The following is a 14902-nucleotide window of genomic DNA, read 5'->3' on the forward strand; positions in this document are numbered from 1 at the left end:
TGTAATTAGCCACCTGTGTTAGGCTGTTCTTGTGTTGCTATAAAGGAATACCTGAAGCTTGGTAACTTATAAAGAAAAGACGTTTAATTGGCTCACAGCTCTGCAGGCTTTGTAGGAAGCCTATAGGCTGTGCTGGGACCTGCTTGGCTTCTGGGGAGGCCTCAGGAAACTAATCATGGCAGAAGGCGAAGGAGGAGCTGATGTATCACAAGGTGAGACTGGGATCAAGAGGGGAGAGGGAGGGTGGCACACTTTTAAGCCATCATATCTCACAAGAAGTCACTCACTATTACAAGGCCAACACCAATCCTTGAGGGATTCATTCCCATGACCCAGACATCTCCCACCAGGCCCCACCTGCAACATTAGGGATTACATTTCAACATGAGATTTGAGTGGGGAGACATATCTAAACCATATCACCATCATGCAATTGCTCAGAGGATAATTTCAAACTCTTGGCATGGAATCTAAGGCCCTTCATGATTTGGTCTCTGTCAACTGAAGCCCCTGCCATTCTAAACTACTCACAGTTCCACTCGTGAGCCATGCGTCAGTACCCCTCTTAGTCGTAACACCTGATGTTTTCTCCACACCAAAAACTCCTGTCACCGTGACATATCTCTTAATCCTTTAAAACTTATTTCTTAATGCCAATGATTTAAAATTCTGCCTCCACGTGGAAGATTTTAGCCTCTACTTGTTTGTTTCTTTACTTTTCCATGTTCACATACCTAATAGAGAATTCGCAACACTATTGCAATGATGGCTCCATGGCTTTCTCTGGGACTTTCTTGAGAGCAGGTCTGTATCTTAGTCATCTTTTTATTTGCATCTCTAGTAAGAAGATAAGTCTTTAACAGGTACCTAGTTAATATTGTTGAATTTATTTGGGGGAAAATAAATGGATTGGTGATTTGTAAAGGTAGCACAAAAAAATTTTCTTAATTTTATTATTCTGCTTTTCTAAATTTTTTTTTTTTTTTTTGTGGTGGGGAGGGGTGGGGGAGTGGAACCCAGAACAAAATTTGAGTTTTTGACACTACAAAGAACCAACCATCTATCCCAAACTTCACAGAGTTTGAATTCCCAGTTTTGGAGTCTATCCTTTCAATCTCCAGAAACCTCTATTATTTCACAGAAATCATCTCTAAGGGTTAACATATTAGCATTGGTTAATCTATCACAAGAACAAAATCTCAAGGCAGTGAGGAGAACCTTAGGAAAAAAGAGAGTCATGAATAATAATAAAACTGTCAATTTCCCAAGTTGTTTTGGCCCGTGCACTAGCAACGTGATTTTTAAAAGTTTTCCATACACACATAAAGTAAAGAAAGTATTACTGTATGAAAGAACCATAGACTCAACTACCCAAGACAGTGATAAACAACATCTGAATGAGGTGAGGAATGCACAAGAGAAATTCTCCAAATATGGAAAGTACACAAATATACTAGTCAGCATTTATTTATCAAAACACGTATACTGGAAATTGAAGACATCAAGTCAAATATATTTAAAATATAGTGCAAATGGACTTAGTACATTGAAAAAATTAATCCTTTCACATTTTATTCTTAAAATTTTGTGTGCTTTTTCAATTCTTTTTGTTTTGTACTTCAGCTAATGTTTAATTGGTGCTAGCTTTCTGGTCTCTCTAAAAAAGTATAACTATAAAAATAATGTTTAAAGTTCCATCTCATTCAGACATTAAAAACGTATGTAAGTTATTCAGAGTTTATCCTTGGGTGGATGGTGAAAATATTTCTATGGATATTATGGCTTTCTAAATGAAGATTCTCTACATCCCTCATATCATAAAACAGGCTGCAAAGCCATGATAAGAAATAGGTTTCTTTTGGCAACTGAAGCCAGGAGCTGGAAAATAATTCTTGCATTATATTCTGGGCTGCTATGTCACACATTCAGACATCTCTCAGATGTCTACAATGCAAATTAATTAATTTTAAAAGGAGGAGATGACCCTGTTTCTTTTGCAAAGGATAAGCTTTAGGATGCATGAGAAAATTGAACAGAATTTTTCTCTTTGAAATCACTGACTCCTTTGAAGGTGATCTTTGGTGAATCATCTTAAGTCATATACTTTCATCCTAAGTCATGTACTTTCCTAAGAGAGTTTTTTGTTGTTATTGCTGAAGTATTCTCATTCCTCACACTTGGGAGGCAGCATAGGTTTGAAGGGGTAGCCAGTGTGATCCTAGATAGAGGACCTGGAGTAAGACTACTGGGTTCAGATTCATGGCAAGTTATCTAACCTCTCTGAGATTTTGTTTCCACAACTTTAAAATCCCAGTGTTTAATATTACCTGCCCAAATGCATTGTTGTGAAATTTGAATGGCATAATCCATGTAACCTGGCACTGAGAAGGCATTGAACAAATGCTGTCTATAACAATAGATGAATTTATTTCCTTCTTGGTTTTTCGATTTCTTTTGTTGTTATTAACAAGAATTTTGAGAAAAAAACACCAGAGCCTGATTTTTAAAAGTTGGTAATTTTGGCAGTACTTATGTGTTATGACTTTTATTACAAATATTAAAATCTTGATAAAGTTTGTTGTATTAGTAACTTTTAGTTTACTTGTATTTTGGCATTTTCCCACTATCTTCCTCTTCTCTCCCTCCTTCATCTTCTATTCATTTTCTTTTTTTGGGAACTATTAATATAAGGAGAAGTTTGAGGATGGGGGTGACTCTCTTCAGTAACTCTCCAATTTCCAATGTCTGTCTTTTCTATTGGTTATATTTTGTGCCAGGTTCACACATGTACAGTAAATTGACAATAAGGCTGTGCCATCTGATGTTGTGCTTTAGATAGTGTGTTGATCAGTAGATGGTCTGGCAGCCATAGCTATGTAAACACATGCTCGTCAACAACCAGGGCTGCATGAGAGGAAACAGTCGCTGGCTTGTGCAGTGGCATCCACGAGCAGCCCTCTTGTGCCATGCAAGGTGGCAGTGTGAAGCCCAACCTAATTGCTTCTCTTTTTTTCTCCCCCTGGAAATGTCACATCCCATAGCCTTTGTCCTGGTGTGATTACTACTTTGATCAGTCATTTTTTACATAGTGTGTTACTCTCTCAGAACCAGCTAATTCAGGGATATTTGTAATGCATTAATTAATTAACTAATTATCCTAAAGTATTAAAGTAACAATTTTCAGCAAATTATGGATTTGTGAACAAATAAACCTGAGAGGATTGTATTAGTTCATTCTTATAATGCTATAAAGAATTACCTGACACTGGTAATTTATAAAGAAAAGAGGTTTAATGGGCTTATGGTTCCACAGGCTGTAAAAGAAGCATGGATGGGGAGGCCTCAGGAAACTTACATTATGGTAGAGGGCAAAAGCGAAGCAAGCACATCTTCACATGGTGGCAGGAAAAAGAGAGAGAGCAAAGGCGGAAGGGCTGTGCATATTCAAACAATCAGATCTCATGAGAACTCACTATCACGAGAATAGCAAGGGAGACATTTGCCCCTATTATCCAATCACCTCCCACCAGGTCCCTTTCCCAACATTGGGAATTACAATTCAGCATGAGATTTTGATGCGGATGCAGAGCCGAACCAAATCATTCTGCCCCTGGCACCTCCAAAACCTCATGTCCTTCTCATATTTTGAAACACAATCATGCCTACCTAACAGTACCCCGAAGTCTTACCATATTCCAGCATTAACTCAAAGGCCCAAGTCCAAAGTCTCATCAGAGACAAGGCAAGTCCTTTCCACCTATGAACCTGTAAAATCAAGAAAAATTTAGTTACTTCAAAGATACAATGTGAGCACAGGCATTGGGTAAATGCTCCTGTTCCAAAAGGGAGAAACTGGCCAAATCATAGGGACTACAGGCCCCATGCAAGTCCGAAACTCATGGGGGCAGTCATTAAATATCAAAGCTCCAAAATAATCTCCTTCGACTCTATGTCTCACATCCAGGTCACACTGATGCAATGGGTGGGCTTCCAAGGTCTTGGGCAGCTATGCCCCTGTGGCTGTGTAGGGTATAGCTCCCATGGCTGCTTTCATGGGCTGGCGTTGAGTGCCTGTGGCTTTTTCAGGCACATGGTGCAAGCCGTCAGTGTATCTAACATCTTGGCATCTGGAGGATGGTGGCCCTCTTCTCACAACTCCACTAGGCAGTGCCCAGTGGGGATTCTGTATGGGGGCTTCAAGCCCACATTTCCCCTATGCACTGCCCTAGAAGAGGTTCTCCATGAGGGCTCTGCCCCTGCAGCAGGCTTCTGCCTGGACATCCAAGCATTTCCATATGTCTTTGAAATCTAGACAGAGAAACCCAAGCTTAAACTCTTGTCTTCTGCATGCATACCCACAGACCCAACACCACATGGAAGCTGCCAAGGCTTGGGGCTTGCACTGTCTGAAGCAATGGCCTGAGCTTTACTTTGGCCCCTTTTAGCCATGGTTGAAGCTGGAGCAAATGCAGTGCAGGGCACCATGTTCCAAGGCTGCACAGAACAGTAGGGCCCTGGGCCTGACATACAAAACCATTCCATCTTCCTAGGCCTCTAGGTCTGTGATGGAAGGAGCTGCCATGAAATTATCTGAAATGTCTTCAAGGCATCTTTCTCTATTGTCTTGGCTATTAACATTCAGTTCCTCTTGACTTATGCAAACTTCTGCAGCCATGTTGCATTTCTTCTCAGAATTTTTTTTTCTACCACATGGGTGGGCTGCAAAGTTTTCAAACTTTTATATGCTTTTTCTCTTTTAAATAAAAGTTCCAATATCAGACTATCTCTTTATCAAACTCATATGAAGTTAGGCTGTTAGAAGTGGCCAGGCTACCATTTTGAATACTTTGCTGCTTAGAAATTTCATCTGCCAGATACCTTAAATCATCACTTTCAAGTTCAAAGTTTCACCTATCTCTAGGGCAGAAGCAAAATGCCACCAGTCTCTTTGCTAAAGCATAGCAAGAGTGACCTTTACTCCAGTTCCCAATAAGTTCCTCATCTCCATCTGAGACCTCCTCATCCTGGACTTCATTATCCATATCGCTATCAGCATTGTGGTTAAAACCATTCAACAAGTCTCTGGGAAGTTCCAAACTTTCCCTCATCTTCCTATCCTCTTCTGATCCCTGCAAACTGTTTCAAACTTTGCCCATTACCCAGTTCCAAAGTTACTTCCACATTTCCAGGTATCTTTAAAGCAATACCCCACTCCTGGTACCAATTTTCTGCACTAATCTGTTCTCACACTGCTATAGAGAACTACCTGAGACTGGGTTATTTATTTTTAAAAAAGACATTTAATTGAGTCAGTTCTGCAGGCTGTACAGGAAGCATTGCTGGGGAGGTCTCAGGAAACTTACAATCATGGCAAAAGGGCAAAGAAGAAGCAAGCATGTCTTCACATGGTGGCAGGAGATAGAGAGCGAAGCAGGTAGTGGTATACTTTCAAAGAACCAGGTCTCCTGAGAACTCACTATCATGAGAACAGCAAGGGAGAAATCTGCTCCCATGATCCAATCACCTCCTTTCAGGTCTCTTTCCCAACATTGGAGATTACAATTCAACATGAGATTTGGATGGGGACACAGAGCCAAACCATACGAAGGATTATTCAAAATTATTCACCTTCCAAAATGTATAATATGGCATACTTAAATTATAATTCTGGTTTGGGTAACAACATACAACAATGATGATAAAGAAGTTAATTTATAAAGAAGAAATGATCTAGGTCAGAACAGCTCATCTTTTATTCACAGATATGTTTGTAGAGGCAATAAGAATTTGAAGTCCCATTAAAATATGGGTAAAAAAAAGTTTGCTTCTTTGTTTATGTATAAACTGGTAATATGAGGTTTGCCTCACATACTGGATTTAGGAGTCTCAGAAATCTCTAAGATCAGACATATAAATTTCATTTGTAAGGTGTAGTGTGTTAAATTTTATTTCTAGTAACTAATATCTATTTACTTTCTATAGGTATGTTTAATTTAGTTGTAATCAAAGAGCCAAACAATTTTTGAATTATCAAATATTTATTTATTTATTTATTTGCAATTTGCAGATTACCTTGACTAATTATTTTTCTGTGAACTTCATTGTGTCTAAGCTTATTCCTTCAGCCATTATTTGGTAAGAACTTCCACTGAGTTAAATTGAGGAACAAAAGCGGACACCAGTTTGTTTTTTCCTGACTACTGTATGACCTATTTTCTTTTGGAAAATGAAAAGCTTGTTTTATATATTTATATATTCATTTAGTCCTCCTGTAACCCATTTTTCAAAGCAACTCTGTGATTCTATATAGAGTTCCCCTCTTAGCATCCTCCTCTTACGACATAGGAGAAGGCATGCAACCAAGCAAAATAATCAAATGACTTTAGTGACTTTTTAAAGTTAGAGTTATGGGAGAAAGTCTCCTTTTATCTTGGGTCATGAACCTAAGAGGGGAGAACCTGGAACGTGCTAAGGCAATTATTCTAGCTGTATGAAGAAGGTTTCCAGGTTTCCTTAAGAAAGTAAAAATGTAAGATGTTAATGTGACTTTGATGTTTCAGATAGGCAATGCAATGTTTTTCTTGTGGTTGTTGGTGCCATTTTAATCACCACCCATGGAAAGGAAAAACTGTGATGTCCTCTGAATTCTGCTGCTAAGAATATCAACAAAGACAGCCATTCTCAAATTTTAAAGTGCCTTGTTCATTTATGAAATTGGAGAAATAGGAGAATTCAATATAGATTTATACTTCTGATGATTACCTATGTACTTGTGATAGTGTGTATATACAGATAATGCTTATATAATACCGAGTGTATAATACTTAAGCATATAATATGTAGTCTATATCGACCATATGTTTCATATAAATCTAATATTTAAAATACTTACATGGTGCCTATGTGACAGTCACTGCTCTAAACACTGTGCACACTTTGCAACATACACAATCACTCAAAGTGGGTCATACTACTAAGTAAAAACCTAATCTATAAAACTTCTAGACAAAAATAAATGGAAATAACAACTCTGTAAATTTCAGTTAGGCAAATATTTCTCAGATAAAATGCCAAAGTACTCTGCCAGACAAAGTAGATTTTTAAAATTAAAAATTTCTGCTCTGTGAAAGACACTGTTGAGAGATTAAAAGCTAAAACCTTAGAAATTGGAAAAAAAATTGTAAATCGCACATCTGATAAAACATTTATGTACAAATAATAAATATAAAAACTCGACACTCATAGGAAAACAAACAACAAAAAAGTTAAAAATTGGATAAAAGATTAGAACAAACACTTCAGCAAAGTAGACTTACAGATAGCAAAGAAGCATATGAAAATATTCTCAATGTTATTCCACATTAGGCAAATTCAAAGTACATAGATATGTTACTACCTATCCATTAGAATGGCTTTTAAATGAAGTAGCAACTCTAAGTAAGTACTGGTGAGGTTGCAGAATAACTAGGACTTTCATACATTGATGATAGAAATGCACAATGGCACAGCCACTTTGGGGAACAATTTGGCAGTTTCTTATAAAGATAGAAGAAACATTTACTTTTCCTGTGATCTAGAAATCCAACTTGGCACGACTCAAGTGAAATCAAAACCTGTGTTCACACAAAAACCTTGTAGACATGTTTATAGTAGCTTTATTTGCAGTCACCAAGACTAAGAACAATGCTAATGTCCTTTCACTGATGAAGACAGAAACAAATTATGGTGCACCCATACAATGGAATACTGCTCAGCAAAAAAAGGATGAAATACACACGCAACAAAATAGAAAACTCAAAATGCATTATACTATGTAAAAGAAGTCAGATTAAAAAGGCTGTGTATGGTTTGACTCCATTTATATGATATTCTTGTAGTAGACTTACCACTGGAACAGAGACCAGAGTTGTGAATGCCAAGGCTGGAAGTGGGTTGACTTTTAAAGGGAAATAAGCTACTTTGTGTTGGGGAAGAGATGAAATAACTGGTCTATACCTTGATCGTGACAGTGGGTATATGACTATACTTTTGTTCATACTCACAGAACTGGACACGGAAAGGATATAAATGTTATTGTAAGAAAATTAAAAATTAATTTTTTTAAAAAAGGTTAGGATGTGGGCCTCACCAAAGATTCATAGTCATAAAACGAAAATCTCATGTTGTTAAGCATCTTGACCCTTAAGGAATGAGAGGTGGGTAGCTTTTGGGAGTGCTGCTAATATTATTTCTGTTTGCCATAGTACTGTTGGAGAGATCACTTAGTGCCTATTTAGTGACTACATACTTATGATCTATTAACTTTTGTGTATGCATGCTTTATTTGATATTAACAGTGTATAAAAACAAAAAATTAAATCCTGAAAGCAATAAAAATTCTAAGCCTCAAATTATGAAGTATACATCCCAAATTTCTTAAAATATAGACTACATTAACAGTCCAAGAGAAAACACATCTGTGATTAGATTTTGAGCAACACACAGAGTTCTGCCAAAATGGCAACAACAGAAGTATGAACTTACTTTACTCACCTGAAATAAATGACAAAATAAAGGAATATGTTTGCATTTCTGAATTCCCAAGGACTTTACAATATGATGAGGGATAGAAAAAGGAGAAAATGAGAAAACATGCCATAGTTATAAGGAAGTAATTTTTGTTGTGTGGATGTGTTAGAGGGGCTTAAGGGGTTTTTCTGAAGGGAGTATGTGGGCTCCTGGAGTATCTAAACAGTGCTACACAGTGGCAAAACTGTCATAGTGGGGAGTTCTGCTCTTCTGCTTATCTCCTGTGATAAGAAAAGCAGATATCTTGTTCATCACGTACTATTGATTCCCTCAGCCTTCTGCTTCAGAAAGTGACTAGTGCTCCAAATAAGGCTGGAAGAGGTATAAATACCAGAAAGCACAGCCTCACCTCTCCTTCTTTTCTGTCTTCAGCTGCTAGTAAAGTTTGGGTAGGGTGCATGCATGGTTTTGGTGTATGCGTGATGGCAGGTGAAGGGAGGGGAATTCCTATTCTCATTATCTTTCTTACCAAGGGGTTGTCTTTATTTCCCAAATCCTTTCTTTCCTCTAGGGCTTATGATTCTCCAAATAAAAGGCAAGAATATTTTGCACACTTTTGGTTTATCTTCCTGTCATATTACCTTCCTAAGGCATTATACTAAGTGCATAAATAAAGAAAATAGTAGGGAAGTTACAGGTTGAAGAAAATGAAGATTAATATCTCAAAATATTATATACTCATAATTATAACCTACAAATAAATGTGCAGAAATGTAGCAAACCTACAAATAAATGTGCACATGGATGGCAAAATTAACTAATATATGAATAAGAAAGTAAATAAATATAATAATAATAAATAAAATATTAAATAATAATAAGTATAAAAGTATGCTTTTTCTAAGCTATGAAGGCATGAGAAAAATGTCAAAACTTGTAAGTTAATTTAAAAATGTTGTGTTCTCACAGTGAGGAAGACTTGACCAAATGCTGTCAGATTAACGTGAAAGACTAAATGTCCAAGAAAAATTAGAAAAGAGAAGTTTATATAGGAAGGAAGGGGGCTCACTCTCTATAATTTTTTAGAATTCTAATGATCACTGTAATAAAGTAGTAAAAATAGAGCTGAATATGTATCAGAACCTAATGACTGTTGAAAGTGACATGAATTAACTTAAAAATCCTACTAGGAAACTGGCAGGTGATGGAGAAAAAATAATGCAGTGTATTAGTCTATTCTCACACTCCTATAAAGAAATACCTGAGGTTGCTTCCAAGATGGCCGAATTGATGCAGAAGACAGGTGATTTCTGCATTTCCAACTGAGGTACCTGGTTCATCTCACTGGGACTTTTTGGACTGTGGGTGTAGCCCACAGAGAGTGAGCCGAGGCAGGGCGGGGCATCGCCTCATAAGGGAAGTGCAAGGGTTTGGGAGATTTCCCTTTCCTAGCCAAGGGAAGTCATGAGTGACTGTACCTGGAGGAGTGGTAAACTCCTGCCCAAATACTGTGCTTTTCCCACAGTCTTCGCAACTGGCAGACTAGGAGATCCCTTCCTGTGCCTGGCTTAGCAGGTCCCACGCCCACAGAGCCTTGCTTGCTGCCAGCCCATCAGTCTGAGATTGACCTGAGACGTGGGAGCTTGGCAGGGGGAGGGGCATCTGCCATTGCTGAGGCTTGAGTAGGCGGTTCTATGCTCACAGTGTAAACAAAACAGCAGGGAAGCTCTAACAGGGCAGAGCCCAGCGCAGCTAAGCAAAGCCTACTGCCTCTCTAGATTCCACCTCTGGCGGCAGGGCATATCTGAACAAAAGGCAGCAGACAGCTTCTCGAGACTTAAAAGTCCCTGCCTGACAGCTCTGAAGAGAGCAGTGGTTCTCCCAGCATGGCGTTCGAGCTCCTATAATAGACAGACTGCCTCCTCAAGTGGGTCCCTGACCCCCATGTAGAATGACTGGGAGACACCTCCCAGTAGGGTCTGACGTCTGTCCTCATACAGGCAGGTGCCCCTCTGGGACGAAGCTTCCAGAGGAAGGATCAGGCAGCAATATTTGCTGCTCTGCAGCCTCTGCTGGTGATACCCAGGCAAGCAGGGTCTGGAGTGGACCTCCAGCAAACTCCAACAGTCCTGCAGCTTGGGGGCCTGTCTGTTAGAAGGAAAACTAACAAAAAGAAAGGAATAGCATCAACACCAACAAAAATGACATCCACACCAAAACGCCATCCTTAGGTCACCAACATCAAAGACCAAAGGTAGATAAAACCACAAAGATGGGGAGAAACGAGAGCAGAAAAGCTGAACATTCCAACAACCAGAACGCTTCTTCTACTCCGAAGGAACACAACTCCTTGCCAGCAAGGGAACAAAACTGGATGGAAAATGAGTTTGATGAGTTGACAGAAGTAGGATTCAGAAGGTTGGTAATAACAAACTTCTCCGAGCTAAAGGAGCATGTTCTAACCCATCACAAGGAAGCTAAAAGCCTTGCAAAAAGGTTAGATGAATGGCTAACTAGAATAACCAGTGTAGAGAAGAGCTTAAATGACATGATGGAGCGGAAAACCACAGTATGAGAACTTCAAGAAGCATACACAAGCTTCAGTAGCCAACTCAGTCAAGCGGAAGAAAGGATATCAGTGATTGAAGATCAAATTAATGAAATAAAGCAAGAACACAAGATCAAAGGAAAAAGAATAAAAAGAAATAAACAAAGCCTCCAATAAATATGGAACTATGTGAAAAGACCAAATCTACATTTGATTGGTGTACCTGAAAGTGACAGGGAGAATGGAACCAACTTAGAAAACACTCTTCAGGATATTATCCAGGAGAACTTCCCCAACCTAACAAGGCAGGCCAACATTCAAATTCAGGAAATGCAGAGAACACCGCAAAGATACTCCTTGAAAAGAGCAACCCCAAGACACATAATTGTCAGATTCACCAAGGTTGAAATGAAGGAAAAATTGTTAAGGAAAGCCATAGACAAAGCTCAGGTTACCCACAAAGGGAAGCACATCAGACTAACAGCAGATCTCTCTGCAGAAACCCTATAAGCCAGAAGAGAGTGGTGGCCAATATTCAACCTTCTTAAAGAAAAGAATTTTCAACCCAGAATCTCATATCTGGCCAAACTACGCTTAACACATGAAGGAGAAATAAAATCCTTTACAGACAAGCAAATGCTGAGAGATTTGTCACCAACAGGCCTGCCTTACAAGAGCTCCTGAAGGAAGCACTAAACATGGATAGGAACAACCAGTACCAGCCACTGCAAAAACATGCCAAATTGTAAAGACCATCGACACTATGAAGAAACTGCATCAATTAATGGGTGAAATAACCAGCTAGCATCATAATGACAGGATCAAATTCACACATAACACTATTAGCCTTAAATGTAAATGGGCTAAATGCCCCAATTAAAAGACACAGACTGGCAAATTGGATAAAGAGTCAAGACCCATCAGTGTGCTGTATTCAGGAGACCCATCTCACATATGAGACACACATAGGCTCAAAATAAAGGGATGGAGGAAGACCTACCAAGCAAATGGAAAGCAAACATAAATAAATAAATAAAAAATAAAAATGCAGGGGTTGCAATTCTGGTCTCTGATAAAACAGACTTTAAACCAACAAATATCAGAAGAGACAAAGAAGGCCATTACATAATGGTAAAGGGATCAATTCATCAAGAAGAGCTAAGTATCCTAAATGTATTTGCACCCAATACAGGAGCACCCAGATTTGTAAAGCAAGTTCTTAGAGACCTACAAAAAGACTTATACTCCCAAACAATAATAATGGGAGACTTTAACGCCCCACTGTCAATATTAGACAGATCAATGAGACAGAAAATTAACAAGGTTATCCGGGACTTGAACTCAGCTCTGAACCAAGTGGACCTAATAGACATCTACAGAACTCGCCACCCCAAATCAACAGAATACACATTCTTCTCAACATCACGTTGCACTTATTCTAAAAGTGACCACATAATTGGAAGTAAAACACTCCTCAGCAAATGTGAAAGAACGGAAATCAAAACAAACTGTCTCTCAGACTACAGTGCAATCAAATTTGAACTCAGGATTAAGAATTTCACTCAAAACCGCACAACTCCATGGACTGAACAACCTACTCCTGAGTGACTACTGGGTAAATAGCAAAATGAAGGCAGAAGTAAAGATGTTCTTTGAGACAAATAAGAACAAAGACACAACGTACCAGAATCTCTGGGACACATTTAAAGCAGTATGTAGAGGGAAATTTATAGCACTAAATGCCCACAAGAGAAAGCAGGAAAAATCTAAAATCGACACCCTAACATCACAATTAAAAGAACTAGAGAAGCAAGAGCAAACAAATTCAAAAGCTAGCAGAAGAAGGCAAGAAATAACTAAGATCAGAGCAGAACTGAAAGAGATAGAGACACAAAAAACCCTTCAAAAAAGCAATTTATCCAGAAGCTGGTTTTCTGAAAAGATCAACAAAATAGATTGTTCGCTAGCAAGACTAATAAAGAAGAAAAGAGAGAAGAATCAAATAGACGCAATAAAAAATGATAAAGGAGATATCACCACTGATCCCACAGAAATACAAACTACCATCAGAGAATACTATAAACACCTCTATGCAAATAAACCAGAAAATCTAGAAGAAATGGATAAATTCCTGGAAATATACACCCTCCCAAGAGTAAACCAGGAAGAAGTGGAATCTCTGAACAGACCAATCACAGTTTCTGAAATTGAGGCAATAATTAATAGCCTACCAACCAAAAAAATCCAGGACCAAACGGATTCACAGCCGAATTCTATCAGAGGTACAGAGGAGCTGGTACCATTCCTTCTGAAACTATTCCAATCAATAGAAAAAGAGGGAATCCTCCCTAACTCATTTTATGAGGCCAGCATTATCCTAATACCAATGTCTGGTAGAGACACAACAAAAAAAGAGAATTGTAGGCCAATATCCCTGATGAACATCAATGTGAAAATCCTCAATAAAATGCTGGCAAACCGAATCCAGCAGCACATCAAAACATCCATCACGATCAAGTTGGCTTCATCCCTGGGATGCAAGGCTGGTTCAACATATGCAAATCAATAAATGTAATTCATTACATAAACAGAACCAATGACAAAAACCACATGATTATCTCAATAGTTGCAGAAAATGTCTTCGACAAAATTCAACAGCCTTTCACGCTAAAAACTCTCAATAAACTAGATATTGATAGAACGTATCTCAACATAATAAGAGCTGTTTATGGCAAACCCACAGCCAATATCATACTGAATGGGCAAAAACTGAAAGCATTCCGTTTGAAAACCGGCACAAGACAAAGATCCCGTCTCTCAACATTCCTATTCAACATAGTATTGGAAGTTCTGCTCAGGGAAATCAGGCAAGAGAAAGCAATAAAGAGTATTCAAATAGGAAGAGAGGAAGTCAAATTCTCTTGGTTGCAGATGACATGATTGTATATTTAGAAAACCCCACCGTTTCAGCCCAAAATCTCCTTAAGCTGATAAGCAACTTCAGCAAAGTCTCAGGATACAAAATCAATGTGCAAAAATCACAGGCATTCCTATATACCAATAACAGACAAACAGAGAGCCAAATCATGAGTGAACTCCCGTTCACAATTGCTAAGAGAATAAAATACCTAGGAATCCAACTTACAAGGGATGTGAAGGACCTCTTCAAGGAGAACTACAAACCACTGCTCAAGGAAATAAGAAAGGACACAAACAAATGGAAAAACTTTCCATGCTCATGGATAGGAAGAATCAATATCATGAAAATGACCTTACTGCCCAAATTAATTTATAGATTCAATGCAATCCCCATCAAGCTACCACTGACTTTCTTCACAGAATTTGAAAAAGCTCCTTTAAACTTCATATGGAACCAAAAAAGAGCCCGCATAACCAAGACAATCCTGGGCAAGAAGAACAAAGCTGGAGGCATCACACTTCCTGACTTCAAACTTTACGACAAGGCTGCAGTAACCAAAACAGCATGGTACTGGTACCAAAACAGATACATAGACCAACGGGACCGAACGGAGGCCTCAGAAATAACACCACACATCTACCACCATCTGATCTTTGATAAACCTGACAAAAACAAGCAATGGGGTAAGGACTCCCTATTTAATAAATGGTGTTGGGAAAACTGTCTAGCCATATACAGAAAACTGAAACTGGACCCCTCCCCTACACCTTGTACAAAAATCAACTCAAGATGGATCAAAGAATTAAACATAAGACCTAGGACCATAAGAATCCTAGAAGAAAACCTGGGCAATACCATTCAGGACAGAGGCATGGGCAAAGACTTCATGTCTAAAACACCAAAAGCAATGGCAACAAAAGCCAAAA

The 14902-nt window shown here is 38.6% G+C and overlaps 1 annotated feature.

The window, feature by feature from the left end:
* Positions 10029–10589: an enhancer, noted in NCBI's record as "H3K27ac-H3K4me1 hESC enhancer chr7:12879421-12879981 (GRCh37/hg19 assembly coordinates)". NCBI's record gives its function as "activates a minimal SCP1, AML or CMV promoter by ChIP-STARR-seq in naive H9 embryonic stem cells {active_cell/tissue: H9 hESC(naive)}" and the evidence as "EXISTENCE:reporter gene assay evidence [ECO:0000049][PMID:30033119]".

The sequence above is a fragment of the Homo sapiens genome, chromosome 7 (genome assembly GCF_000001405.40).
Source record: "Homo sapiens chromosome 7, GRCh38.p14 Primary Assembly".
NCBI lineage: Eukaryota > Metazoa > Chordata > Mammalia > Primates > Hominidae > Homo > Homo sapiens.